This window comes from Homo sapiens, chromosome 9, assembly GCF_000001405.40.
Source record: "Homo sapiens chromosome 9, GRCh38.p14 Primary Assembly".
In the NCBI taxonomy this organism is placed as follows: Eukaryota; Metazoa; Chordata; class Mammalia; order Primates; family Hominidae; genus Homo; species Homo sapiens.
In genome coordinates this window covers 34,639,959-34,666,326 of record NC_000009.12, presented here as the reverse complement: position 1 = coordinate 34,666,326, position 26,368 = coordinate 34,639,959, and the positions used below count along the sequence as shown (strand labels likewise).

Here is a 26,368-nt window from a genome sequence, read left to right as displayed (position 1 = left end):
GGGGATTAAGAAAACAGTACTGGACTTAGTCCCAACTCTCTTTTCTTGCTGCCTGCTGCGGAAGCCTCGGCCCCCCAAGGTGTAGCTCCAAAACCTGACCTGACACCTATAAAAGAGGGTCCTTTGCCCGCATCTTAATCAACCGACCCCGCCCCTGGCCTCACCCCGTAAGATGACGTTTCGACTCCGCCTCCTCTGGGAGACATGAACACCCCACCCCTTCCGGGGGACAGGCAAACCTAGTGCGCAACGGCATCCCTGTGACGTAATAGTAACGGTCCGTTTCCGGGGTGGAGCCAGGGAGGGCGGGAGTTTAGGCTGCGCTGACCCCTCTCAGCCCCCCCTCCAGGTGACCCCAGCCCCTGAAAATCCTCACCCAGGGCCCCAAATCTCCCAGCCCCATGACCGCCAAACCTCTCGCCCTGGCCCCCTAAATGCCCCAGGCCCCGGAGATGACCGGCCTCCTCACCCCTTAACTTCCAGTGCCTCCCAAATCTCCAAGCCCACCCTGTCCCGTGGTGGCAACTGAGGCTTCTCGGGGGCATCAGCCTCAGATTACCTGAGAACTGGGCAGCCTCGTCCTGAGAATGACGGAGAAGGGGACCTGGGGCTAGGGAATCCCTGATTCAATCATGCCGCTCCCCAGGAGACGTTCGGAGCCCAGGACATGTCGGGAATGAGGAGATACGAGGTGGCGCTGGAGGCGGAGGAGGAGTGAGTGGAGGCGGGTTCTGCGGAGGAGGAACCAGGCGGCTCCGGGGTGGGGGAGGGTGGAGTTCTGCGGGGGCGAGGGGTGGGCAGGGCGAGCCTCCCAGGGGCGTGGGCGCGAAGGGAGCCGCTTTTAGAGGCGGGGCGGAGCCTTCCTCGACGGCGAGGCACCGCGGGGCGGAGTCTGTAGGGTCAGCTCCTCCCCGCCCCGCCCCGCCCCGCCCGGCTCTGCCCTCTCTCTGCAGGATCTACTGGGGCTGTTTCTACTTTTTCCCCTGGCTTCGCATGTGGCGGAGGGAGCGGAGGTGAGGAGGCTGCGATACCGCGGACCCGCCCCGGGCATGGACGGGACTCAGTCTCTGAGGACCCATCGGGGGGAATCCGGTAGCTCCCGCCCCGCCTCATGCCAGTGTCGGGTCGCCCCACAGCTCGGCGCACCCCGGGGAGCAGAAGCTGGAGCCTCTGCGAGGCCTGATGAGCTGTCTGTCCAGCGGCCTGGGTCCTACTCCCCAGCGCTCGGGTCGTGGCTTCCCCCGCCGCAGCCCCACCGCCGCTGCCCAGCCAGCCAGTGCATTAAAGATTTAAACCGAAGCCCACCGTACTGACCTCCTGACTCTGCCGCCGCTGTCGCCATTCGAGCCGAGCGCCCCTCCCCACACGGGCTCTGTTCCGTACTGACAGGGCGTCCCTCCCTGGAAGGGTGCCCTTCCACGTCAAAGCCCCTCATCAGTGTCAGGCCTCCTGTTACTATCAATGGCTGTCTCCCCCAATCCCAACCCCCAAAAACCCATACTGTGAGTCGCCTATATGAAGAGAACTAAATAATCCTGCCTGTTACTCCCTTCCTCGGAGCGAGGACTTTGCCAGCTGTCTGAAGAATCTTCTCTGCTGGGAGTATATCTAAAACATTTTAAGCAGAGGTGTAGGATGCAGGCTGTAAATGGTAAGAGGGGGAGATTCCTAGAAGCTGCCTGCCACAGAGGAGCGACTTGGGTTGGCGACCTTTCCTACAGTTCATACCCCAACTTTTGGCTCCTCCAGTCTGATCCCAAGTTTAGAGATCCTTGGCATCAGCCTACCTAGAAGTTCTTGCTCCCTCCCTAGGAGAGTCCAAGGGCCACTGCTCTTTGCCGCCCCCTTCTGTCACCCAATCAGCCTGGGACCCACTAACTCCTCAAGTGGTGAGAATCAGGGACTGCTATGTGGGCCTGCCTTCAGTTAGGGACTGGACCCAGCACCAGAAAGGGCACCACAAGATTAAGTTAAAGAAAGAGATGGCCCAGTTTCTGGCTGGGGCCAAAGCTACAGCAGATTGTGGCTGGGGAGAAGACTTGGTCTTAAAGGGGAGAGATGGGTGCACACCCAAAAGCATTTGTTTTCTGCCTTCCGAAGACTTCTGGACCGACAAGCCCAGGGAAGACCAGAAAGTATGTAGCGCACAGCCAAGTGATGAAGAAGGTCTATGACAAGCCCGAGGAACCTGGGAGATTTCCTTGGGATTTCCTCAGTGGCTACACCCAACAAGCCTTGGGACACAAGAGAAAGGCCTAAGCCCTATCCCAAGAGAAAGCCTACTCCATAGAGAGTGGCTGACCCTACAGCAGACGACTGCAACAAGATAAGGGCTGGATTACTGTGTTATGACTTGGTTTATGTTTCAAATATAGAGCAGGACTTGCAGATTGAGATCCCTGGACCAGGAGTGGGAAATTCTTAAAGGAGCCAGGGGCACTGAACTTGGCAGCATACCCCCACCCTAGGCAGCTCCCAGCTTCCTGGAAAGGACTGGATAAAGATGAATAGGAGCTTTGCATTGCAGGGAGGGGGTAAAGAACGGAGTGACAGCTGGGTATGGGATTAGGAGAGAAGCGGCTATAGCTGGAGGGTGGGATGCAGGGGGTATAGCAGTTGGACATGAGGGTGTGACTGAACCCGGGTAGGGAGAGGGGATGTTCCTCCAGGCCCAGGAAGGAGGCTGGAATTTGAGTAAAACAAAGATGTAATTGAGTGCTTGAGTCCAATGTCTTCAACAAGTCAGGGACTGGATCTGGAGACCCTAGGCCCCTGCTGGCAAGAGGTTGGCATTCCTGGAACAGGACTAGACAAAAACAGGAAGGTAAGATTCACTGGGCCTTTTACCTGTTTTGACAACAGTAACCTAGCACCAAAGAGCTTTTATCTTCCCTCCTTATCTACCCCACCTTTCCTCCCTGTCTCATCATCCTGGGGAAAGCTGCCCCACCTCAGCATCTCCAAAACACCCTTAATATTACCATAAAGGGCCTTCCCCCAGCTTCTCTGAATGGGGCTGGCCTCAGCCAAGAACCCTCCTCAGCCAGAAGGGCCTGCTCTAGGGACCCATTCCCATCCATTTCTTCTGATAAGACAGGCAGGCCAAGCCAGGAAGTGGGGAGGAGAAGGTGAAGGCAAGTTGGTGCTTGCCTGCCCTCTGCTCCCACCCCACCCACAACTCCCCTGTCAGAATCTGTGTGTGCTAGTGTGAATTTGCTTGTGATTGGATGACTGTGAAAACACAATTGGGTGGGAGAGGGACTTTGAGTATAACCGGGGCTATATAATTTTGTCTACGGTTGTCTGATCATGAGTATGACTTTGTGAGGTTGACCAAGTGATTGAGGAGTGACTTTGAATGTGTGGCTATGCGTATTTGAGTGTGAATGTCTATCATTAGATGCTGCTGTGGATGCTTGACTGCCCTTACTCACTGTTCCATCAGTCCCTACATCACACACTAATCCTTCCCCCAGCTTCACTGCCCAGAGCTTAGGAGCACATGGGAAATGGCTATCCTAGATGAGGAAGGAGTCTGTGGCAACAGGCCGAGAATTAGGGCCCAGGAGTGTCACAGGTTACACAGTACATCTCCAACTGCCTCTGACTCACCTAGTGCCCCAGGTAAAAGGCACCCAGATAAAAGGTAGGGGAGGAGGAGAGAGAGAGAAGGAAGAGTCTAGGCTGAGCAACATGAAGGGGCCCCCAACCTTCTGCAGCCTCCTGCTGCTGTCATTGCTCCTGAGCCCAGACCCTACAGCAGGTGAGTACTTGGGGGTATAGAAAGCTGGGGGTCTGGGTGAATGGGATGAAGTTGAAAAGACCCAGGAAATCCAACCTAACCTCCAGCTGTCTGGCAGAGAGGTTCTTGGTCAGGATCCCTCTGAACACATGGCCCTGTTGCCCCTAGCATTCCTACTGCCACCCAGCACTGCCTGCTGTACTCAGCTCTACCGAAAGCCACTCTCAGACAAGCTACTGAGGAAGGTCATCCAGGTGGAACTGCAGGAGGCTGACGGGGACTGTCACCTCCAGGCTTTCGTGTGAGCTCCCACCCCTGATACCCCTGACTCTGACCTCAGTCCCAACCCCTAATGCTGATCCCAACCCCAGCCCTAACTGCTAATTCTGTTGCCAACTCAGGTTTTCATCTGGTCCTTGCTCCTAACCCCTAATTAGGGTCATTGGGGATGACCCTAATCTCATCCCCAAGCTATGGTCATAGCTTTGGACCTTTCTCTACCCAGGCTTCACCTGGCTCAACGCAGCATCTGCATCCACCCCCAGAACCCCAGCCTGTCACAGTGGTTTGAGCACCAAGAGAGAAAGCTCCATGGGACTCTGCCCAAGCTGAATTTTGGGATGCTAAGGAAAATGGGCTGAAGCCCCCAATAGCCAAATAATAAAGCAGCATTGGATAATAATTTCTGAGTATAATCTCCAAGAACTTCCTTATTCTCTTTATTCACACCTGCACAACCCCTGCAAGGGGAAAGGCCAAGAGCCAAGGACCCACACACACTCCCCAGGCACCTACATACATGCATGCAGAGAATACATGTTCCCTGCCTCACAGACACATGGTCACACATGGACACAGATGTACACATTACACACGTTCCTTGAGCAGAACTCCAACTCTGGGGTGAAATCAGAGGTACAAGCACCTTTCAGCTGCAAATTTGAAATACAGGGTCTCACAGAAATGGGCTCCAAACAGAACTTCCAGCTGAGATCCAACCATAGGGATCTACTGTCCTGCCTGGTTTCTATCCACACCAGCAAGACAGAATTATAGGTGGAATCTGCCGAAGCCCTCCTGGGTCCTCTACAGGTTTGGAGCTCCTAGAAGAAGCAGGAGGCAAATCAGGAGAGACAGTAAGACCGGATCTTGGCCCAGACACCCTGAGAATGAGGGAGGTGACTCAGTTCTAAGCTTAACACTCTGAAGATGAGTAGAGGAGCCCAGCTCTGAGGGAGCCTCTTCAACACACTGAAGATACGGGAGTGGACCTAGCTCTGGGCCCAGGCACATTAAGAATGAAGGAGGGGACCTAGCACTGATCCAAGACACCTTGAAAAAAAAGGATGAATATCCAGCTCTGAGTCTAATACCCTGGAAGAGTATTAGTACTAATACTAATACCCTGAAGGGAAGTCCACCTGGGGTCCTTCCTCAGTACCCTGAGAGGAGGGAAAGAGACCCACTTCTGAGCCCAGGGACTCAAGAATGAAAGGCCCAGCCCTCAGCCTAGACATCATTAAAATGAGGAGACCCAACTTGGATTCCCAGCATGTTTTAAAATGACTAGGGCAGCCAGCTCTTAATCTGGACACTCAAAATAGGGGCAAACATCTCCAAGTCCAAATCTTCTGGATGTCCTACTCACCTGGACGCCTGTCCACTGGAATCACTGAGGCCAAGAACCCAGGCTTTGGGGATCCATCCTTCCCACCCCGTCTCAGCCTCAGCCTGGGGCATAGAAAGGCAGCTGTCTCTCCAACAATGTGGGTTATCTCAGTCTCCGCCAAAGGGTTTATTAGTAAAGGGTCAGGAGAGGAATCAGTTAAAATCAAGTGGGGCATGGGGGATGGAGGTATGGGGAGGTAGTTCCAGAATCAGACAGGTTCAGCGGGCAGTCATGAAGGGTGGAGATGAATGTGGTCTATGGGCATCAGAGCATGTGTGAGGATCAGAGGCTGAGGGACCAATGGCAGTCACTTACCAGAGCCCCAGTGCCAGGGCCCCAGCCACCAGTCCCAGGAAAGAAAGGATTCCCAAAGACGCCAGCACAGCTACCTGCTCCACAGAGTCCCTGTGATCTGAGGGGGAGGGCCACATGTCACTGAGAGCAAGCCTGACCAAGCTCGGTGTCCCCTTTTCTCTGGGGTTTTCAGTCCTTTACAAGTCTTGCCCATCTGCCCAAGCTCACCAAGTAGCCGAGGGTGTGGTTGGAGGGAGGGCCTTGGAGGAGCAGGGCTGTCCACCTGAGGCTCCACCTCTGGCTGCGTGTGTAGCTGGCCCCATGCTGGTATCTCCTTTGGTATGGTCCCTAAAGGAAGGCAAGACCCAATAAGTGTCCATACGCTGGTGGGGACGGGGGTCACGTCCTGTGCTCAAGGCCAAGGCCTAGGTTGGAAGTCAAGGTACCTAGGAGGAGGAGCCTGATAGGGCATGGCCAGCTCCTAGGGAGCATGGCAAGCTCCAAGCTTGTAGAAGTGGAGCCTGTAACTGCAGGGGTGGAGGCCAAGGGGCAGGACTTAAGCTAAGACAGGGCTGTAGGCAAACAAGTCTGAAGTCTGGGACAGCAATTGCCGTGCCTGTGTGGGCAGGGCATGTGCCACCTGCCTGTCTTTTGGAACTGGTTCAGCTGATAGATGCTTTGGGATGGGGCCTCTGCCCTTTTCTTTGGCTTTGTCTCTCACCAGTGCTCGGAGTTCCCCAGGCCTCCGGGCTCCAGGTGCTCCAGGTGCCAGCATCTAGAAAGTCCCGGGCACTGACTCGTACAGCATGGGGCAGCCCAGCCACAGCATCTGTGATCACCTCCTCCAGTCCAGCTGGCTCCACCTGGGGGTAAACATGACTCACTGTTACCCAGCTTGTAAGTGCAGGGCCTTCCCAGCCACCATCTACAAAGAGCACCCCTTGCTCCCAGTCTCATCCTAAAGCCTAGTGGAGCTGTCTAGGTCTCATGTTGGGTGTCTGGTGGAGCTGAGTCTACACCTAGTGTTTGTAAGACGGCAGTAGTGATTACTTAGAGAGGCTGTGGCATCAGGCAGCCTGGGTTCAAATCTTTGGTGAACCACATATTGAATGACCCTTTGGGCCTCTCTGTGACTCAGTTTCTTCATTTGTAAAATAGAGGTGAATCTACCTAAACAAAACAATGTATGCAAAAAGTGTAGCCAGGTACCCCACAGGCAGGCAGCACTAAGTAAATATTAGTTATTATCTGATGCTGCTGCTCCCTAGTCCTGATACCAGCCAATCTTTAACATCTCCTGAGACACAAATTCACTGCTATCCTCAGCTGGGTATATGAGTGTTTGTAGGAGAATGTGCCTCTAGGTGAAAGGCACTCCTTTTCCTAAGAGTTATTTTTAGGCCGGGCGCCGTGGCTCACACCTGTAATCCCAGCACTTTGGGAGGCCGAGGTGGGCAGATCGTGAGGTCATGAGTTCGAGACCAGCCTGGGCAATATGGTGAAACCCCATCTCTACTAAAAATACAAAAATTAGCCAGGCATGGCGGCGGGCACCTGTAGTCCCAGCTACTCGGGAGGCTGAGACAGAAGAATTGCTTGAACCCAGGAGGTGGAGGTTGCAGTTAGCCGAGATTGCACCACTGCACTCCAGCCTAGGTGACAGAGCGAGACTCCCTCTCAAAAAAAAAAAGTTATTTTTTTAAAAGCCATTGCTATCTTCCCACAGATGTGCTTTACCTCATAGTTATAGCCCCACAGGACAGACATTCAGTCTCTCAGTCACCACTGCAACCCAGCACCCAGTACAAAGCCTGGCCCACAGGGAAGTGTTGGGTCTTCAGTGACCTGCCAGCACTGGAAAGCTATACAGAACACCCAGGATCGTGAAATCAGAGACAGGACCCACAGCCGTGGGTTGGGACGCACTCCAGGCCTCACCGTGGACCAGGCTGGATGCTGCGCCGGACGGTACTGCAAACGGAACTTGAGCAGGAAGTGGGGCTGGCACGGCCAGGAGGCAGGGTATGTCCAGCTGGCTCGCAGGCGTCGGGGGTAACCTGGTACTGACTCTACCCGCAGGCCCTGGGGTGGGTCAGGGCGCACTAAGGGCATCAAGACACAAAGTCAGGGTAGGCTATGGGTCTCCATCACTTCCCCACCACTTCCCAAAGTGTGTGTTTAAAGGAGCCTTAGCCAGACACTCCTGAGAGGGGAGGGGAAATCTTAAACTTGATCATCCATTAGACTCAGACCGGTCATCTGTATTATGAAATGGGCTGAGGCCGCGTGTGGTGGCTCATGCCTGTAATCTCAGCACTCTGGAAGACTGAGGCGGGAGGATCACTTGATGCCACGAGTTTGAGACCAGCGTGGGCAACGTAGCAAAACCCTGTCTCTACAAAAAATTTTAAAAATTAACCAGACATGGTGGCACATGCCTGTAATCCCAGCTACTTGGGAGGCTGAGGTGAGGGGATAGCTTGAGCCCAGGAGTTGCAGGCTTCAGTGAGCCAAGATCACACCACTGAACTTCATCCAGCCTGGGCACAAAGTGAGACCCTATCTCAACAAAAAAAGGAAGAGAAAGAAAAAAAGAAACCACCTGAGATCTGCGGGTGGACTTTTGAAGTGCTTCTTGAGTGAATAAAAGAGCAATTCCTATTTTCATCCAAGGAAGATGAATTGGCCCAAATTCCAGCTAGAGTTTTAGTGTCCCACTCCCATGCACAGGTCAAGGAAGGAGGGGCCAGCAAGGGAGGACATGACATATGGCTGCATTCGGTACAGGGCCTGCTCTGAGGCTAGGCAGCCAATCAGGCAGTGTGGGTAGCAGCAGCAGCCTCTAGAGTGTGTGCTGAAATAACCATGCCTCCTGGGCTCTGATCCCTTTGCCTTCTCAGGCTCCACAGGGCCTTCTCTGTGTGAAATGGAGTCTAGGTTGGGAGGAAACTGGGAACTCTGGGAGTGGAGAGATCTGAGTCCATTTGGGGTCTCTGTGATGGGGGTCTGGGGGAGGTCTGGGGTGGGTACTCACAGATGCTCTGCAAGCTCACATCCAGCAGGCGTGTGCTGGCACCCAGTGGGTTCACCTCAGTCACATTAATCCGGTACTGGCTCCAGAACTCAGCCCCGTGGACAACACAGCGGGCAGCCCCTAGGGGATCCTGTGGGCATGGCCAGGGCCCTGTGGATGGACTCCTCCTAGAAGGGAGGATGTGGTCTTTGGCTTTGAAAATGCCTACTGTGGGACCCAGCTGGAGCCCCCACATGCTCCCTCACGTCCTACCTCTGGCTATCAGCTCCTAGGACTGTCTTCTTCCTGGTGGGGAGGGGGCCATCTGAAGTCAGGAAGGAAAAGAGGGCCTTCTGCCCTCTCTGAGGCTTTCCTCAGAACCTACCTCCCTGCCTCCCACACCCACATTGCACCAGCATACCCAAATGTGTAGGCATCCACACCCAATCACACACACACCTGTAGGAGGTGAGGTAGCGGGTGGGTAAACCGCTGATCTGGCTGGGACTCCAAGTGCAAGAGAAGTTCTCATAGTCGGCTGCTTGGCAGGAGACAACAGGGCGGGCTGGAGGGTCTAGAGGCAGAGGGTACACCTGGAGACTGAGCAGTCCTCAGGTCCTCCTGGTCCCAGAGGGCTTACTTAGGTCCCATACTCCCTCAGGATCCCTATGTGTCATCAGTGCCACCCTCCCCAACTCACAGCCCAGCTGCAGGGTCACTGTGCCCCCAAGTGCACCATCCAGGGTCTGGCAGATGTAGGTGCCCTCATCAGTGCTGTCTGCCTGGGCCAGGACCAGTTCATGCCCTAGCCCAGAGTCAGGTCCCTGGAGCAGCTTTGGCTCCCCATCCCGAAACCAGGACACTGGGTCCCTGGAAGTGAGATGAGGTGACAATGGACAAAGACAAGATGTCAAGCATAAGTCAGACCATGCCACAGCTCTCCATTGGCTTCTAACTGCATTTGCAATAGAACCCAAATTCCTTTTACTGGCTTTCAAAGCCCCTTGTGAGCCAGCCCTTGCCTTCCTTTCCTTCTTCAGCTCCTATCTCTCTCCCCCTCACCCACTGAAAACTCCAGCTACATTGGTCTTCTTTCTATTCCTCGGGGGTATTGAGCTCATTCCCACCTCAGGACATTTTGCACTAGCTGCTCCCTCTGTCACGAGCGCTTATACCTTAATGTGTGCATGGCTGCCTCCTTCCTGACCTTCAGAAATCAGCTTCAACACCATCTCCTCAGAGAGACCTTTCCTAACTACCAATTAAAAGGTAACCACGGGCCAGGCACGGTGGCTCACGCCTGTAATCTAGCACTTTGGGAGGCTGAGGTGGGTGGATTACTTGAAGTCAGGAGTTCAAAGCCTGACCAACATGGTAAAACCCCGTCTCTACTAAAAATACAAAAAAAAATTAGCCGGGCCTGGTGGCGCATACCTGTAATCCCAGCTACTTGGGAGGCTGAGGCAGGAGAATTGCTTGAACCCAGGAGGCAGAGGTTGCAGTGAGCCCAGATTGCACCACTGCACTCCAGCCTGGGCAACAGAGTGAGACTCTCGGAAAAAAAAAAAAAAAAAGTAACCACTCAGTTGTCCTCTTCGACATCCCTCACTTTGGTTTTTCTGCCCTGCAGGTATTACTATCTGGCAAGATTCTCCTTTGCTTATTGTCTTCCCCACTAAGATGTAAGCTCTTTGAAGGCAGGCACCTTGCCTGGCATTAGCACTGCTGTATCCCAGAGCCTAGAATAGACCTGGCACTTGGCAGATGCTCAAAACATACCAGTTGAATTTTCTGTTGAATAAGGATAGTTAGACGGTTAGGACAGATAGAGAGGTGAGGATTACGGACAGAGCGGGCAAGGATGGGAGGGGCGGGACATGAGGACTAGGCAGAGTCAAGAAAGGGTCATGAGTGTCAGACCAACAGGCAGGTGGGGCACTTACCCGGCAGTCACTCCAGGACAACACAGCTTCACGGACCTGCCTGGCTGCCCATACTGGACCCCTGTGGAGGGCACTTCTGAGGTAAGGCTCTTCCTTTACCCCCCTCCCCACTTTGTGAGAATGACAGATAAGAAGCAGACTGTTAAAACCTGGGTGGTGGGGGGCTCACTGGATCAAAGCATCATGTTATAATCTGGAGACAGAGGTCAGAGAACAGGGTAGAGAGAGGACCCAGGTTGGATGACAGGAGCAGGGGTGGTGTCACAAGTTAGGCATGGGAAGGGGCCACAGTGAGGGTGGCAAGTCACAAGTCAGAGTTGGGAGGTTGTAGAGCAGGGTTCTTCTCACCTGGGGGGCCCCAGGCCTGGGGGCAGGGGGAGGAGGCAGACACCAGGGCTGTAGCCACGGCCACCAGGACCCTGCTCAGCCCTGAGCAGCTGCTGCTCATCTGTGGGGAGAGGTAGAGTCAAAAATCCCCGACCCCTGAGATGGGAGGCTAAAGCCTGGCTCTTCCTCTCCAAAACTGAGGCTTCCTAGGAGAAAAATTGATGCACCAAGTGGGGTAAGGCTGTTAGAAATCACTGCGGGAACTGACCTGAGGTCCCCTTTCCCACTGTATACCCAGTGCTTTGCATGTGCGTGCGCGCGCACACACACACACACACACACACGGACACACACACCCCCTCACACCCTCCATCTCAGTCCTGGGCTTAGGGCCCAGAACAAAAGCCGGAGGCAACAGACTGTGCCAGCAACTCCCCCTCCACTGCCCTTGGCGCCCACCCCTGGCACCAAGCACTGGCACCAGCTCAGCCACTCCCATTAACCCCTCCAGTCCAGCTGTTGGGAATTCTGGTATTTACCCCCACCTGGTCCAGGGCTTATCACTGCCTCTGATTAACCTAGGCAGACCTTATCACCCTGGGGGAAGGGTGTCATCATGGATCTGAGCCCATCCTGCACTCCCACCCTGAGGCCCACCCCTGCCCTGGCTGCCAGGCTTCTCGCCTGAACCTGGCTCCTTGGTCTGGCTACTTGGGCCACTCAGCTGGGCCTGGCTCTTGACACTTCGTTGGTCTCCAGTTTGTGAAGCTGGATGGGGCTAGGGTGCAGGCTGGGGCTGTGTAGTTAAGCAGATCCAGATGCCCTGGCTGCTGCCAGAGGCTGGGGGTGGGCGAGGAGCCAGCAGATGGAAATGGAGACAGGGTGGCGGGGAGGGGAGGGGAGGGAAGGGGATGAGAGGCTGAGAGGAACTGGGAGCCTGCAGGGACAGGCATGGGGGCCACAGCACCAAGAGATACTCAGAGATCAGGACTAGGAGGTGATGGGGCAGTGTGGGAAGTGTTGGAAAGACTGGATTGGGGTCAGCGGAAACTCAAAAAGCTAACAGTGTGTCTATATGGCAGGTGGGGGATGCTAGGAGAGAGAGATTCTGGACAAGGGGGAGCAGAAGGAGGAAGGCAGTGGTGAAGTGGATGGAGAACGAAGGGGCAGGCGGGGAAAGGGCTCTGGGAACAAGACCAGAAGAGGAAGAGCACGGACCCTTCAGGAGTAGGAGTAGAGCAGAGCAGGGCCTCCACCTGTCTGTGTGTCTGTCTGAGTGTGTCCAGTTGGCTCACCCCTGGCCACCCAGCCACACTTACCCTGCTTAGCCCCACCCTACCTCGGTGATCCCAGCAGCAGAGTGTCCATAGCCTCTAGGACTTCCTCTCACCAGCTACAGCCCCCGTCTCCTACTCCACTCAGTTCTGGGACCCCAGAGCCATCCCCTCCTTCCCCTTCCCTGCCCCGCCCCCTCTAAGCCCTGGAGCTCTGCCGCCCCTAGCCAGGCCCCCTCCCTGCTCCTGCCTCCTCCCTCCTTCCCTCCCACCCAAGGCCCTGGGAAGGGAAGAGGCCTCCCCCAAGTCTGGAAAGGAAGCCACAGACACAGCCAAGGCCAGCAAGAGGGAAAGGAGGGTGGCTAATACTTATGTCCCTGTCAGTGAGAGATGCCCTGTGTTTTCACACAGCCAGACACAGTCACATTCACACACAGACTCAAGAGGCACAGTTAACAAAAGGGCATGCCTTTGAACACACGTGGACACAATCAAATGAAAAATCAGATACAAACTCCCCCTCTTTTCACTCCTCACCAAATGTTTCCTTAGGGTACAGCTGGCTGTGCTTCCAGGGGAAGGGAGGCCCCAGGTTGGGGGATATAAGGAGAGGCCAAAGAGTCCAGTTCCCCCTCCCCTGGAAGTTCCAGCCATTTCTCACCTCCCCCTCCATTCTTTGGGCCCCAGCACCAGGAAATGCCTTTGGTCCCTTGGTGCCAGATACACAAGACCCACAGTTACCCTCAGACTCATACACTCTCACATGCGGTCACTCACAGTCACACGGGCACAGCCACACCGCCTCAGACTCAGACACACTTACACATATTCATACACTCACGCAGTCACACACGCACACAGCCCCTACCAGGGCTCACAGCACCGCCTAAAAGCAACTCTTCATCATGGTCTAAGCCCCCTCTCTCAGGGAGCTCTTAGCCGGGGCAGACCCGCATCTCATCACTGTTACAGGCCCCCAACTAGCCAGAGATCAAGATCAGCAGGGAAGGCAGGCATAGGGGCACAGAGAGAGACAGAGAGAAAGGAAAGGCAAAACTGGAAATGCACCCACACAGAGAGACCAGGGGAACAAAGCTGTGAAGAAACACACAGAGGTATCTCTAGTAAGACAGCAATAGGGACAGAAAACGGCACGTAAGGGAAACTGAGCCAAGCAGGGAAACAGAAAATAAGGAGCAGTAGACCTGATGCTGGGGATTCTTGAGCAGAGGAAGGAGGGGAAGCCACGTGTGTTGTGGGTGTGTCTGTCAATGCTGGACACTTAAGAGAAAGGTCAGTCCCATGGGCTCTTGAGGTAGGTCCCCCAATACATGAATACAGCTGTACTCCCACACGGTTTAAGTTAGGACCCAGGACACACACATAGTCACAAACCTCACTTTTGCTCTGCTACTGCTGAAGTCACACATTGGCACACACAAAGCCAGCCACCCACTCTCACGCTGGCAGACATGGTCTCAAACCCCACAGAGACCTTCCCAAAACACATTCCCTCATGTGGTCACAGTCCCTCTCACACAAACACACAACCCAGTCCCACCAAAAATGTGCATTGACAGATACACACATAATCCCACACTTGCACAGCCACATGCACCTCCAGCTCCATGCACACTGACACACGCAGTCACATTAGCTGACAGCTGCACCAAGTGACACTCAGAATCGCACACAATGATACTGTCACACAGACACAGCCTCACAGGCACATACACACTGACAGTCGTTAGTCACTCCCGGCCTTTCAGATCATACATCACCCTGCCCCGCCCACTCCTGACAAGACTTTGGCGTCTACACCAGGCCTCACCTTCCGCGGCCGCTGCCGCCAGCGCCCTCTGCCCTCGCCCTCGCCCTCTGCCCCGGCCTCTACTCCCTCCCGCCCTGGGCCCCCGCAGCGGGGGTGGCTCCGCCCAGGCGCCAATGGAAGGAGAGGAGTGAAATAGGGGGGCTCCTGGCCCATTGGAGACTCCAACTGCCAATCACCTCCACCCCCACCTCCGCCGGACACTTCCTGTCCCGTCCCGGACTGAAGAGGCTGCTTGGGACAGAGTCTGGAGCTGGATTCCTGGGTCTCCGCCTGAAGGCCTATCCACCCTGGAACAGCAGGACTGGAAACAAGAGCCACTGGCCAGGTGATTGGAGAAGCTGAAGGTGCCCCTGACTCCAGATAAGATAAAGAAGAAGGAGGGCTGTGTAGGGCAGTGGTTCTCAAACTTTGCTGGATATTGTGGTTTGAAAACTGCAAAACCCCACCCCATACCAATTAAATCAGAGTCTCTGGAGGTTGGACCTAGGCACCAGTATTGTTTAAAACTTCCCAGATGATTCCAAAATGCAGCCAAATCAGAGGTGTAAGGTGTGTCGGGTATATGTATGCCTCAAGAAACCAGCCACCCACTCAGGGTTCTCATCTACTCCCCAGTCATGGGAAGCTCGAGGGAAATGTGTGCATACTATGTCTATCAGATCTTCCAGACCAGGGCAACACTCCCAAGTTCCAGGTACTTCCCCTCCAGGATCTCAGGGAAGAAAAACCCTGGTCTGGAAGGCAGGCAGCCAAGTTTCTCCTGGGCCAGATTCAGTCACTGTCCAGCCTTAGTGTGATTTCCCCACCCACAGGCTTGGTTCCCCTGGGGAAAGAACGAAGGCAAAAACCATTCTGGCCATCCCTGCATCATTCACAATGCCTGCCTTCGCCTTAAAATTTGGAGGACACCAGTGGCATCAGGTCTCCTGTGTTGCATAGACTGTTGTTCCCACAGCGTTGCCAGGGAAACAGGTCCAGAGGGGACTGAATAGACCCCAGGTCACTCTGAGAGCCATACCTTCCTTCCAGGCCCTAGGGTTCCTAACTCTAGCAGTCCCTTCTCTGTCAGAGCTGTTTCTGTTTGTGCAATGATTGGGGCACAAGGGCAGCAGAAGTATATGGTGCCCGCACATGTGAGAGTCTGGAGGAGCCAAGGACACAAAGCCACGTACACGCTCCCTACACACTCCCTACCCGCCCCTTTAGCCCCTGTGGGCTGGAGCAGAGCCAAGCTGCAGCCACTCACAAAGCCAGGGTTCTGGCCAGCAGCCCAGGATCTGGCCACTGACCACTGGGATCAGGATCCAGCTCACCCGCTCCCCATCAAACCCTCAGGCCCAGGCTTGGAGCTGACACCCTAGGGGTGGTGGCAAAGGGGGCTCTGGCCTTCCCAAAGCCTCAGCCACAACCAAGACACAAGATTTTAAAACAGTTTCCTAAACTGGGAATGCTGTCATTACACCAAGAGTAAGAGAATCTATAGGCTAGATATAATACTGAATATTAATTTTGTTCAGAAATTTGGGGTAGATTTTTGCATCAAGATTTTACACATCTGTAGACAAAGAAAAGTTGTAGCTGGAGCTATGCCTTTAGCTTTTAACCCTAGATCTCTGAAGGTTCACACTCCTCTGATATTAGAGTATGTGATAAAAGTTTGAGATGCACAGTTTTATTAATGCTATATCTGCCCAAATTCCAGGCCAGGATTCAAGGCCCTTTCTGCTTAATTCAGCAAGACTGTTGAAAACAAAAAAGGATTCAAGGCCCTGTGGTCGGCGTGGTCAGGCGATGGTTGCTGTCTCCCTGTCCTTCTGCCCCAGGTGGTAATGAACCTCAGGAAGTGCCCTTAGTCTCTCTGCAGCCTGGAAAAGGGACAGGGAGCAATTAAGGAGGATAAGGGCTGGGCTGCCAAGAATGGTGGCATGGACTTCATTTTTTTTTTTTTTTTGAGACGAGGTCTTGCTCTGTTGCCCAGGCTGGAATGCAATGATGCCATGATGATGGCTCACTGCAGCCTCAAACTCCTGGGCCCAAGTGATCCTATCTCAGCCTCCCAAGTATCTGGGACCACAAGTATATGCCACCATACCTGGCTAACTTTTTAAATTTTTTTTGTAGAGACGAGGGCTTCCTATGTTTCCCAGGCTAGTCTCGAACTTCTGGGCTCAAGCAATCCTCCCATCTTGACCTCCCAAAGTGCTGGGATTAAGGCATGAGCCACCACACCCGGCCGATGGTATGGAGTTCTGGGTGCTCAGGAGACATTTTGCTGGATATTGTGGTTTGAAATATGAATATGAAATATGAATGCCACAGGCCCACTGGGGGTGGGCCTGTGGGATTGTGAGGCTGGTGATAAGGACTGCTGAAGCCACCAGGGGATGAAAGAGTTTAGCAGCTCCTGAGTCCCAAGGAATGCCCAGGTTGTTATGGGAAACTATCAGGGTCATGACTGTTGGGTTCCCTGGAGGAAGCAGGAGAGAAGGGGGATCTGAGGACCATACTCTCCTTCCAGGCCCTAGGGCTCCTAACTTTGGCAGTCCCTTCCTGCCAGAGCTGTTTTCTGCCTTGTGCAATGACTGGAGCACAAGGGCAACAGAAGTATCAGGTGCCTGCACATACTGCATGTGAGAGTCTGGAGACGCCAGACTGTTCTGAGTCCTGACCTGCTCAGGGGTGAGGTCCCTCTGAGCCTGAGCAAGCATTTCGTAGCCAACCATGAATTTCCGGACAGTGGCAGAGCGCAGGAGCGGAGGGTAGTAATGAGCGTGCAGCTGCCAATGGTTCCAGTTGGCCCCAGCCTCTGATCCTGTGGGAGCCCCTGACAGAAAGAAGAGAGACAGTGGGGAGAGAGAGCCCTTTTACAGTTATCCAGGTTAGCACCTACTCCCAAACCCAACCAGGTATCTGAAAACTACATCTCCCAGGATCCCCTGCTTGAGAAGAGCTGGCAGGAGATTAGAAAGCACATTGGAGATGTAGTTTCACCAAGTTTGCTGCTCCACCCTCAGTCCCAGCATCTCTACTCTGGCCACTTCCCCCAGCAACTGTTTCAAGGCTTGCTCCTTTGAGGTTGCAGTTCACTAGGCTGAGCCCCAGGAGCCCAGAAATGGTGTTGGGGCTAAATATAGGTACTTGAAAAGCCTCACCATGCCAGCCCATGGAGTAGGGAAAGGACGTCTCAAAGAGGTTGTCATACTTGGTCAAGAGCTTCTTCATGATGGAGGCTAGATCTGGAATCAGAGCCTGACTCTCAGCCTGGGGTCCAGATGCTGACCCTACTGGGAGCAACCTCCATCCAGTGCCTAGCCCCAGGATCCTACTTGGGAGACTGACCATCACGCTCAGCAGGGGTCAGCTCAGGTAGCCGCCGCACATGCCGACGGGGCAGCAGCAGTGTCTGGTAGGGCCATGTTGCCCAGAAGGGGACCAGTACTAACCAGTGCTCACTGGTTAGGACCAGACGTTCCTAGGAAGACAGAATGGATAGGAAGTCATCAAGGTGACATAGGAGCCGGAGTGTGGTCAGCAAATAGGCAAGGGAAGCAGAAGAAAAGAATGTGCCCAGGATCTGATGTCTTCTCACCACCTCTACCACTAACCACCCGAGTCTAAGTCACCATCATCTTTCCTTTAGATTACTGGATTATTGCTAAGGCCTCCTAGCAAGTCTCTCTCTACTAGTTCACCTCTAGCTTTCTCCTTTACACACCTCTCTCATGGGATAAGAAAGTTAGGGACTCCTTGGGGACACAGGGCTTGGCTCTCTCCCACCTTCCTGAGTAGCTCCTGGCGGCTGTACTCCATTAGCAGGGGCTCTCCATGCTGACTCTTATAGGCCTGCTGAGATCGCTCCTCACGCTGGGCAATATCTGGCAGGAAACTGCTGGCCCATACCTGTCAAGGGGCAAAAGCAGAGAAGAACAGGCAGGTCCTTTACCTCCAAGCCTCCACATCATTGGCATATTTCCTCTGTCCCATCCATTAATCCTGTTCCCATGTCCACAGTGCTGGCTCAGACTCAGCCAAGAAACCCACTGGAGCCCCTGACACCCTTACCTGGCAGTGGGGGTGGGGGTTAGAACAGCCCATCATGGCACCTTTGTTTTCAAAGATCTATCAGATAGGGATACGGAGCTCTGTTAGCCAAAAGACACCAAGTCAACTCCCTCCTGACCACACCCTGTGGAAACAGAAATGTTACTCCCCAGAACCAAAGCTTCATCACCCCCTCCCTGCCCATCCAGGGGAAGGGGCGACCTCACAAACCTGCACCCAAGGGTACTGGGCACCCAGCTCCTCTGTGACTGAGGCCCATGCATCAACAACAGCCCGGATCTCAGGGACCGACATGAGTGGCAGCGTTACATCCGACCAGGGGTGGAAGCACATGACCTTACTGGGTGGTGACGGGAGAAAAGATAACCGAGAGGTAGGGCTTGGCTGTGCTACGGGCAGGGCCGAACCCCAATGCTGAGTCTCCAACTCTGGTTTGAAAGTTGTAAGAGGGGAAATCCATAGTTACCAGACTCCTCGAGCAGACTTTGCTTGGAAAAGGGGATGATCACTGGGTCCTGAGGTAAAGGAGTATCACTCTCTGCAGCAGAAGTCCCTCAAGAGGTCTAGCCACCCTCCTCCCCAGCAGCAGTTGGAGCCAGGTTACCTGGACTGGGGGCATCAGGCTGCAGAGCTGGGAAGTCGTTGTCAAACAGGAAGGTGCTATCGTACTGGGGATTCACCTACCGACAAGGATAGGCTAGAAGCACTCACTGCCCCATACCACCAGTTACCTGGTGGGCTTCAAAGACTGGACAGGCTACAAGGGAGTAGGGAAGGCCCACCCTAGGGGACCAAAAAGCTTGGTGGGATATGACCCAGAAGGAGGTTCACTATCCCTGTGGGTGGAGGACAGTTCTAAGAGGGAACTACTCCCCGTGGCCCAGCCTGCAGATGCAGGGCTCTACAGGCTTACCTCTCCGTTGGCTCGGATGGCCCCAGGACACAGAGGGTTGAGAGGGTCATGGCGGGGCACTGTCTTCAGAAGCTGGGGCTCCACTTGACCCTGCCAGGGCCGCTTCATGCGGTGAGCTGACACCAGCACCCACTCATCCTGCAGCGGGTTGTAGCGGATATGCTGATGGTCTGGGGGCAGACAGTCAAGATCAGTCCTCAGAGCTCTCTAGCTCCCTCTCTCCTGGGTCTCACCCACCAGCAGGCCCAAGCTCGGGAGCGCCCTCTCGGCCCTGTCCCGCTCAGGAGCTAGAGGCCCAGGATTGGACTTTCCCAGCGCCAATTGGCCTGCTGCTCGTACAGGCCTGCAGACTGTACGCCTTGTCGGTCTGGCTCGGGATGAGCGTTCCAACCTTCGGAGGGGACGAAAGCTTCCTAAGGAAGGGGAGGGCTCGGCTCCGCGCCCCAGCGAGTCCCTGCCGCGGTGCAGTTACCGTTTGCCCGGAAGGTTGCTGCTGCGGCGTCCGCCTCTGACGCCTGCTGGCGTTGCTGAGGATCGGTTCCACTGCGCGACATGAGGCCACCGGGGGATCCGCTGGAAAATCTGCAGGGCCGTGCCTCACCTTTCACTTTCTCCGTCCACACCACCCCTCCCCGCGCCGCCCCCGATGATTGGCCAGCCGCCAGCACGTGACTGACTGACTGGGCTGCCCTGCCACCTGGGGGCGGGGCTCAGAACAGCTGTGAACCCTGGGGGCCGACATTGATGATCCTACTTCACCCAGAGCTAGAGCCACTACACTGGAAGAACCTCTGTGAAAGCTGCCTACTGCAGAATCCTTGGGCTCCAGGATGCCTACAGGACTTGCTTGCTGCAATCATTCATTTGATCTTTCATTCAGCAAATATTTACCAAGCATCTAGCATGTGCTAGGCACCTAGGCTGTGTAAAGCATTGGGATGCACATGTCAGGCATGGCCTCTGCCCTGCCTGAGCTTACATTCTAGGGCGAGTAAGGATATGACCCTGGATCAACAGCGCCTCAGTCACCTGCTCAGTGGCTGTAGCGCAGGAGAGGCAAACTTGGTGGGGTCTGTGTGGAGTACTTCACCATAACCATATCCTATCCCCAAAAGCAAAAACAGATTTGGGAAAAAGGGCTAAGTAACCATATTCTCTTTTTCTCTCACTCTTGCTCTCCTTCCTCTCTCTCTCTCTCTCTTTTTCATACACACACCAAGACAGCACAAGAAGTGGGAGGGGTAAAAGGGCTATAAAAAAAAATCTAAAAATGGCCGGGCTCGGTGGCTCACGCCTGTAATCCCAACACTTTGGGAGACCAAGGCAGGCGGATCACAAGGTCAAGAAATTGAGACCATCCTGGCCAACATGGTGAAACCCCGTCTCTAGTAAAAAAAAAAAAAAAAAAAATTAGCTGGTCTTGGTGGCGTGCACCTGTAGTCCCACCTACTCGGGAGGCTGAGGCAGGAGAATCACTTGAACCCAGGAGGCAGAGGTTGCAGTGAGCCGAGATTGTGCCCATGCACTCTAGCCTGGCGACAGAGCAGACTCCGTCACAAAAAAAAAAAAAAAAGTACAAGAAAGTCTAAAAATGTGGAGAGTACAGGACTATCAGAAGCTCCAGCCACCATCTAGGTGGGGCCTAGTGTTTCCTTTACACATCCCCTTCCCTTTTCTAAATTTTCCTTGGATGGGACCAATTGGCTAACACTAGGATAAAATTCAAATTAATTCCTCCCCTGGTACTTTTGTTTGTTTGTTTGTTTGAGAGAGAGTCTCACTCTGCCACCCAGGCTGGAGTGCAGTGGCGTGATCTTGGCTCACTGCAACCTCCACCTCCCAGGTTCAAGCGATTCTCCTGCCTCAGCCTCCAAGTAGCTGGAATTAGAGCTGTGTGCCACCACACTGGGCTAATTTATGTATTTTTAGTAGAGACGGGGTTTCACATGTTGGCCAGGCTGGTCTTGAACTCCTGACTTCAAGTGATCCTCCTGCCTCAGCCTCCCAAACAGCTGGCCCCCAGTACTTTTAAAGAGCCATCTAAATATTGTCTAAACCTCTTCCCCATTTCACATTGGAGCCCAGAGGACTCAAGGTCACCCAGAGAATTAGTGGCCAAGCTGAGATTTGAATGCAAGTTTCCAAGGCTTTTCCCAGTGCTGTGAGATGCCTCTGAGGCTTCAGTGGAATGCAGGACAGAGACCCAGTGAGTTAGAAGTTGAGCCATAGCAGGGACATCCCTTCCCCCAATCAAGACCAAGCCAAGCCAGGTGTTTTGCAATTGAGCTGCAAAAACTAGGTCATGGGTCATTTACTTGATCTCTGCCCTAGGGTCCTCAGACTGGAATAGGAAGAGGCTACCTTCAGAGGTAGGGGGCAGGGAGCTGAGGACTGAGAAACAGGGGTTTTACCTGTCCCACTGGCTGTTCATATTACCCAAAGAGGTGAGACAGGAACAGGAGATCTGCTTTTCCATTCTCTCATTTATATTTGTTTGAGTGACTAGAGCTTGTAGACAGCTCCATTTTCCCAAGAACACCAGTGCTTCAGTGCCGCCCCCTGAATCATGCTAATTAAATCCTGACCCCCATCAGGAACATCTCTTCAGGAACATCTCCATAATTCTCCTCTATGACTCCCCAAGGTCATTTTTTGGAGGAAGAGGAGAATGACTAAGATGGGCCTAACCAGCTCCCTCCCTGCCAGATCCCAGAGGTGTTGTTACAGTAAAGAGATCCCAATCCAGACCCCAAGAGAGGATTCTTGGATCTCACACAAGAAAGAATTCAAGGTGAGTCCATAGTGTGAAGTGAAAGCAAGTTTATCAGGAAAGTGAAGGAATAAAAAAATGGCCACTCCATAGACAGAGCACCCCTGAGGGCTGCTGGTTATCCATTTATATATATATATATATATATATATATATATATATATATATATATATATATATATATATAATTTTTTTTTTTTAAGACGGAGTTTCACTCTGTTGCCCAGGCTGGAGTGCAGTGGCTTGATCTCGGCTCACCGCAACCTCTGCCTCCCAGGTTCAAGTGATTCTCCTGCCTCAGCCTCCCGAGTAGCTGGAATTACAGGCACCCACCATCATGACTAGCTAATTTTTGTATTTTTTAGAGACAGAGTTTCACCATGTTGGCCAGGCTGGTCTTGAACGCCTGACCTCAGGTAATCTGTCCATCTCGGCCTTCCCAAAGTGCTGGGATTACAGACATAAGTCACCACACCTGGAAAGGCCTGGAAAAGCTTTCTGAAAGACCAGATAGGGGAGGTGTAGGCCCAGATGATCCCAGAAAGCTGTTCCTGGAATGGGGAGCAGAGACCAAATTTGGGGGCTAATCCCTGCTGCCCAGGGTTCTTAGTGAATTGTCGAGTCGGGAATGCCACAGAAGCCAGAACCAATACAAAAACATGTTCCCTCAATCCTGTATTCTCCTCTAGATAATCCTTTCTTTATCCTTAATTTCTCTGCCAAGTTTCTTTTTTTTTTTTTTTTTTTTTTTTTTTAGATGGAGTCTCGCTCTGTCGCCCAGGCTGGAGTACAGTGGTGCAATCTAGGCTCACTGCAACATCCGCCTCCTGATTCAAGTGATTCTCCTGCCTCAGCCTCCCCTGTAGCTGGGATTACAGGCGTGCACCACCACACCCAGCTAATTTTTGTATTTGTAGTAGAGACAGGGTTTCACCACGTTGGCCAGGCTGGTCCCAAATTCCTGACCTCAGGTGATCCGCCTGCCTCTGCCTCCCAAAGTATTGGGATTACAGGCGTGAGCCACCGTGCCCGGCCTGCCAAGTTTCTTAAAAACAGAGGCCATCTTTCTGGTCTCTACTCTTAGCTGCATGGTATATTGTAACACATCTTTTGCCCTATATTTGTCAGGGTAAGTAATCTTAATTGCTGTAACAAACACTCCCAAAACTCAATGGCTTAGCACTACAGTCAATTCTGGGGGTAACAGGGAGCTCTGTTCCAAGCAGTATTTAGGGATCCAGGTGCCATCCATCTAGTAGCTATGCCATGTCCTAGGGTCTCAGAATACTCCACTAGAGATCCTCTATAACTACAGTAATAGACATGGGAAGAAAGAAAATGTAAAGAACTTCAAGCTGGGCATAGTACTATGTGCCTGTAGTCCCCCAGCTCTTGGGAAGCCAGGGTGGGAGATCACTTGAGCCCAAGAGTTTGATACCAGTCTGGGAGTGACATAGCACAATCCTGTCTCTTAAAAAGAGAAAGAGAAAAAAAAAAAAAAGAATTTCAGAGGAGACTTTAGGAGCCAGCCCTAGAAATGTCATACATCATTTCTATCTATATTTCATTGGCCAGAATGCAATCACATGATCCAGAGTAGACTGTGGAATGTAATCTAGCTGTCCAAGAGCAAAAGGAAATGGATTTGTGAATGTATAGCATTGTCTCTGCCACATGCCCCTACTGAGAAGTCTAATGATCATTTCCCATCATCTCATTGAATCTCACCATTATATTTCACTGTGTTAACCCTTCATTCCATCACTCTTTTTTTAATTTTTTTAGATGGAGTTTCGCTCTCATTGCCCAAACTGGAGTGCAATGGCGTGCTCTCAGCTCACCATAACCTCCGCCTCCCAGGTTCAAGCGATTCTCCTGCCTCAGCCTCCCGAGTAGCTGGGATTACAGGTATGCGCCACCACGCCTGGCTAATTTTGTATTTTTAGAAGAGATGGGGTTTCTCCATGTTGGTCAGGCTGGATCTTGAACTGGCAACCTCAGGTGATTCCCCTACCTCGGCCTCCCAAAGTGCTGGGATTACAGGTGTGAGCCACCGTGCCTGGCCCATTCCATCACTCTTGAGAAAGAAAAGAAACTTTTTATCTGAGAAATGCCAGCCTCTTTTAATTATCAGGCCCAGAGAGGCATTAAAATGTGACAGCATGGGCCTGGCGCGGTGGCTCACGCCTGTAATCCCAGCAATTTGGGAGGCCAAGGTGGGCGAATCACGAGGTCAGGAGTTCGAGACCAGCCTGGCCAACATGGTGAAACCCTGTCTCTACTAAAAATACAAAAAATTAGTTGGGCATGGTGGCGGGCGCCTGTAATCCCAGCTACTCAGGAGGCTGAGGCAGGAGAATTGCTTGAACCTGGGAGGCAGAGGTTGCAGTGAGCCAGGATCATGCCACTGCACTCCAGCCCCGGCGACAGTGCAAGAGACTCCGTCTCAAAATAATAATAATAATAATAATAATAATTTTAAAAAGAAAAAAAAAGGCCGGGTGCAGTGGCTCACACTTGTAATCCCAGCACACTGGGAAACCAAGGCGGGCGGGATCACTTGAGGTCAGGAGTTTGAGACCAGCCTGGCCATTATGGTGAAACCCTGTCACTACTAAAAATACAAAAAGCTGAGCATAGTGGCAGGTGCCTGTAATTCCAGCTACTTGGGTGGCGGAGGCAGGAGAATCGCTTCAACCCGGGAGGCGGAGGTTGCAGTGAGCCGAGATTGCGCCACTGCACTCCAGCCTGGGCGACAGAGTATGACTCAGTCTCAAAAAAAAAAAAAAAAAAAAGTGACAGCATGTAACAGCAGTCATATCTCACCTTCCCCCACCCCCATGGAGCCAAATAATTACCCCTTGAAGCCACTTGCTATGTGGGCTCTAAATTGATACCACATAGCCATAAAATGCCATAGTCTAGACACCATAACTCATACCCTATAGTTCAACAAGGTATAGCCAATCACTAATCAATGTTGTTTCTGTAAGCCAATGAGAATTCCTGTTAAACAATTTTGTGTCAGCCCACTCCTTGTCCTCTTTTGCCTTTAAAAACTTGCTTGTGGCTGGGCATGATGGTTCATACCTGTAATTCCAGCACTTTGGGAGGCCAAGGCAGGATGATCCCTTGAGCCCAAGAGGTCAAGGCTGCAATGAGCTGTGATCGTGCCACTGAACTCCAGCCTAGGTAACAGAGCAAGATCCGGTCTCAAAAAATAAAAATAGGCCGGGCGCGGTGGCTCACGCCTATAATCCCAGCACTTTGGGAGGCCGAGGCGGGCAAATCACGAGGTCAGAGTTCAAGACCAGCCTGGCCAACATGGTGAAACCCCATCTCTACTAAAAATACAAAAAAATTAGCTGGATGTGGTGGCAGGTGCCTGTAGTCCCAGCTACTCGGGAGGCTGAGGCAGGAGAATTTCTTGAACTGGGAGGCAGAGGTTGCAGTGAGCCGAGATTGCGCCACTGCACTCCAGCCTGGGCGACAGTGGAGACACCATCTCAAAAAAAATAAAATTAAATTAAGTTAAAATAAAGTGGCCAGGTGCAGTGGCTCACACATGTAATCCCACACTTTGGGAGGCCGAGGAGTGTGGATCACCTGAGGTCAGGAGTTAGAGACCAGCCTGGCCAACATGGCAAAAACCTGTCTCCACTAAAACTACAAAAATTAGCCAGGCATGGTGGTGCACACCTGTGGTCCCAGCTACTCGGGAGGCTGAGGGAGGAGGATAGCTTGAACCTGGGAGGCGGGAGTTGCAGTGAGCCAAGATTGCACTACTGCATTCCAGCCTAGGCAACAGAGTAAGAATCCATCTCCAAGAAAATAAAAAATAAAAATAAAAACCACATATAAAAATAAAAAATGCTTGTATCAACATTCCCCAAGGCAACTTGGAAAAGTGTCCCGAGCAGTCGTTCTCTACCTTGGCCCAAATAAACTCTCTATATTAATTTTGCCTCAGCTTTTTTTTTTCCTCACTGTTGTTTTTGTTTGTGTGTTTTTCTTTTTTGAGACAGAGTCTCACTCTGTCGCCCAGGCTGGAGTGCAATGGTGCAGTCTCCACTCACTGCAACCTCCACCTCCCGGGTTCAAACGATTCTCCTGCCTCAGCCCCCCAAGTAGCTGGGCCAAGTGGGTGGCACGCGCCACCGCGCCCGGCTAATTTTTGTATTTTTTAGTAGAGATGGGGTTTCACCATGTTGGTCAGGCTGGTCTCGAACTCCTGACCACGTGATCCACCTGCCTCGGCCTCCCAAAGCGCTGGGATTACAGGCGTGAGCCACCCCGCCCAGCCTGTTTTGTTTTTTTTGAGACGGAGTTTTGCTGTTTCACACTGAGGCTGCAGTGCAATGGCGTGATCTCGGCTCACCGCAACCTCTGCCTCCTGGGTTCAAGTGATTCTCCTGCCTCAGCCTCCTGAGTAGCTGGGATTACAAGCATGCGCCACCACGCCCAGCTAATTTTGTATTTTTAGTAGAGACAGGGTTTCTCCATGTTGGTTAGGCTGGTCTCAAATTCCCA

General features: G+C 52.9%; 5 protein-coding genes across 9 annotated transcripts in view, besides 8 other annotated features; 2 read left to right on the top strand and 3 right to left on the bottom strand.

The window, feature by feature from the left end:
* The window catches only part of PHF24 (PHD finger protein 24), a 316,938-nt gene extending 316,218 nt beyond the window's left edge, over positions 1–720 (bottom strand). Inside the window, exon 1 of the mRNA XM_047423102.1 lies at positions 560–720. The gene's annotated coding sequence lies outside the window, so the exon portion shown is untranslated. The remainder of the gene's footprint in view (positions 1–559) is intronic.
* On the top strand, positions 282–2,164 carry LOC730098 (uncharacterized). Of its 3 annotated transcripts, NM_001320037.2 has the most exons (4): positions 282–349; positions 647–714; positions 954–1,013; positions 1,137–2,164. In NM_001320037.2, the coding sequence occupies exons 2-4, from the start codon at positions 668–670 to the stop codon at positions 1,291–1,293; spliced, it is 264 nt and encodes an 87-aa protein (NP_001306966.1). In that variant the 5' UTR covers positions 282–349; positions 647–667; the 3' UTR covers positions 1,294–2,164. The 3 variants fall into 3 exon arrangements, 2 of the variants coding, with proteins under 2 accessions (NP_001306966.1, NP_001306967.1); NR_135148.2 differs by having other exon boundaries at positions 954–2,164; NM_001320038.2 differs by having other exon boundaries at positions 282–714.
* Positions 708–957: a silencer, noted in NCBI's record as "silent region_19855". NCBI's record gives its function as "represses an Ori minimal core promoter by ATAC-STARR-seq in GM12878 lymphoblastoid cells {active_cell/tissue: GM12878}" and the evidence as "EXISTENCE:reporter gene assay evidence [ECO:0000049][PMID:35858748]".
* Positions 3,670–4,437, top strand: CCL27 (C-C motif chemokine ligand 27). Its single transcript, NM_006664.4, has 3 exons — positions 3,670–3,763; positions 3,911–4,043; positions 4,248–4,437. The coding sequence occupies exons 1-3, from the start codon at positions 3,694–3,696 to the stop codon at positions 4,381–4,383; spliced, it is 339 nt and encodes a 112-aa protein (NP_006655.1). The 5' UTR covers positions 3,670–3,693; the 3' UTR covers positions 4,384–4,437.
* Positions 4,425–14,142, bottom strand: IL11RA (interleukin 11 receptor subunit alpha). Of its 2 annotated transcripts, none has more exons than NR_052010.2 (13): positions 12,328–12,414; positions 11,010–11,109; positions 10,662–10,722; positions 9,419–9,588; positions 9,178–9,292; positions 8,992–9,024; positions 8,740–8,906; positions 7,644–7,807; positions 6,427–6,568; positions 5,934–6,053; positions 5,727–5,823; positions 5,391–5,473; positions 4,425–4,845 (listed from the first exon to the last, which is right to left on the bottom strand). NR_052010.2 is itself a non-coding variant. In NM_001142784.3 (13 exons), exons 2-13 carry the CDS (start codon positions 11,107–11,109, stop codon positions 4,829–4,831), a joined length of 1,269 nt encoding a protein of 422 aa, NP_001136256.1. In that variant the 5' UTR covers positions 14,094–14,142; the 3' UTR covers positions 4,425–4,828. The 2 variants fall into 2 exon arrangements, 1 of the variants encoding a protein (NP_001136256.1); NM_001142784.3 differs by lacking the exon at positions 12,328–12,414 and adding an exon at positions 14,094–14,142.
* Positions 6,198–6,699: an enhancer, noted in NCBI's record as "H3K4me1 hESC enhancer chr9:34659625-34660126 (GRCh37/hg19 assembly coordinates)". NCBI's record gives its function as "activates a minimal SCP1, AML or CMV promoter by ChIP-STARR-seq in naive H9 embryonic stem cells {active_cell/tissue: H9 hESC(naive)}" and the evidence as "EXISTENCE:reporter gene assay evidence [ECO:0000049][PMID:30033119]".
* Positions 10,890–11,505: an enhancer, noted in NCBI's record as "H3K4me1 hESC enhancer chr9:34654819-34655434 (GRCh37/hg19 assembly coordinates)". NCBI's record gives its function as "activates a minimal SCP1, AML or CMV promoter by ChIP-STARR-seq in naive H9 embryonic stem cells {active_cell/tissue: H9 hESC(naive)}" and the evidence as "EXISTENCE:reporter gene assay evidence [ECO:0000049][PMID:30033119]".
* Positions 14,087–14,186: a silencer, noted in NCBI's record as "silent region_19854". NCBI's record gives its function as "represses an Ori minimal core promoter by ATAC-STARR-seq in GM12878 lymphoblastoid cells {active_cell/tissue: GM12878}" and the evidence as "EXISTENCE:reporter gene assay evidence [ECO:0000049][PMID:35858748]".
* On the bottom strand, positions 15,292–19,652 carry GALT (galactose-1-phosphate uridylyltransferase). Of its 2 annotated transcripts, NM_000155.4 has the most exons (11): positions 19,541–19,652; positions 19,069–19,238; positions 18,760–18,835; positions 18,622–18,670; positions 18,366–18,495; positions 18,156–18,212; positions 17,871–17,993; positions 17,433–17,565; positions 17,246–17,329; positions 16,763–16,917; positions 15,292–15,958 (listed from the first exon to the last, which is right to left on the bottom strand). In NM_000155.4, exons 1-11 carry the CDS (start codon positions 19,620–19,622, stop codon positions 15,878–15,880), a joined length of 1,140 nt encoding a protein of 379 aa, NP_000146.2. In that variant the 5' UTR covers positions 19,623–19,652; the 3' UTR covers positions 15,292–15,877. The 2 variants fall into 2 exon arrangements, with proteins under 2 accessions (NP_000146.2, NP_001245261.1); NM_001258332.2 differs by lacking the exons at positions 18,622–18,670; positions 18,760–18,835.
* Positions 19,048–19,227: an enhancer, noted in NCBI's record as "active region_28314". NCBI's record gives its function as "activates an Ori minimal core promoter by ATAC-STARR-seq in GM12878 lymphoblastoid cells {active_cell/tissue: GM12878}" and the evidence as "EXISTENCE:reporter gene assay evidence [ECO:0000049][PMID:35858748]".
* Positions 19,798–19,907: an enhancer, noted in NCBI's record as "active region_28313". NCBI's record gives its function as "activates an Ori minimal core promoter by ATAC-STARR-seq in GM12878 lymphoblastoid cells {active_cell/tissue: GM12878}" and the evidence as "EXISTENCE:reporter gene assay evidence [ECO:0000049][PMID:35858748]".
* Positions 21,121–21,415: a silencer, noted in NCBI's record as "tiled region #8240; K562 Repressive non-DNase unmatched - State 23:Low". NCBI's record gives its function as "represses a minimal TATA promoter and a strong SV40 promoter by Sharpr-MPRA in K562 cells {active_cell/tissue: K562}" and the evidence as "EXISTENCE:reporter gene assay evidence [ECO:0000049][PMID:27701403]".
* Positions 21,121–21,415: an enhancer, noted in NCBI's record as "tiled region #8240; HepG2 Activating non-DNase unmatched - State 5:Enh". NCBI's record gives its function as "activates a minimal TATA promoter and a strong SV40 promoter by Sharpr-MPRA in HepG2 cells {active_cell/tissue: HepG2}" and the evidence as "EXISTENCE:reporter gene assay evidence [ECO:0000049][PMID:27701403]".

Coding starts and splice junctions, on each gene's coding strand:
- IL11RA (NM_001142784.3), bottom strand. CDS start 11,109: ATGAGCAGCAGCTGCTCAGGGCTGAGCAGGGTCCTGGTGGCCGTGGCT. Junction 8,907..8,991: donor CTAGGAGCTGATAGCCAGAG/GTAGGACGTGAG, acceptor CCTCCCTTCTAG/GAGGAGTCCATCCACAGGGC. Junction 6,054..6,426: donor CTGGGGAACTCCGAGCACTG/GTGAGAGACAAA, acceptor GCCTTCCTTTAG/GGACCATACCAAAGGAGATA.
- GALT (NM_000155.4), bottom strand. CDS start 19,622: ATGTCGCGCAGTGGAACCGATCCTCAGCAACGCCAGCAGGCGTCAGAG. Junction 17,994..18,155: donor ACCCCCACCCCCACTGCCAG/GTAAGGGTGTCA, acceptor GCCCCTTGACAG/GTATGGGCCAGCAGTTTCCT. Junction 17,566..17,870: donor GCCAGGAGCTACTCAGGAAG/GTGGGAGAGAGC, acceptor CTGTCTTCCTAG/GAACGTCTGGTCCTAACCAG.
- CCL27 (NM_006664.4), top strand. CDS start 3,694: ATGAAGGGGCCCCCAACCTTCTGCAGCCTCCTGCTGCTGTCATTGCTC. Junction 3,764..3,910: donor GAGCCCAGACCCTACAGCAG/GTGAGTACTTGG, acceptor TGTTGCCCCTAG/CATTCCTACTGCCACCCAGC. Junction 4,044..4,247: donor TGTCACCTCCAGGCTTTCGT/GTGAGCTCCCAC, acceptor TTCTCTACCCAG/GCTTCACCTGGCTCAACGCA.
- LOC730098 (NM_001320037.2), top strand. CDS start 668: ATGTCGGGAATGAGGAGATACGAGGTGGCGCTGGAGGCGGAGGAGGA. Junction 715..953: donor GCGCTGGAGGCGGAGGAGGA/GTGAGTGGAGGC, acceptor CTCTCTCTGCAG/GATCTACTGGGGCTGTTTCT. Junction 1,014..1,136: donor ATGTGGCGGAGGGAGCGGAG/GTGAGGAGGCTG, acceptor GTCGCCCCACAG/CTCGGCGCACCCCGGGGAGC.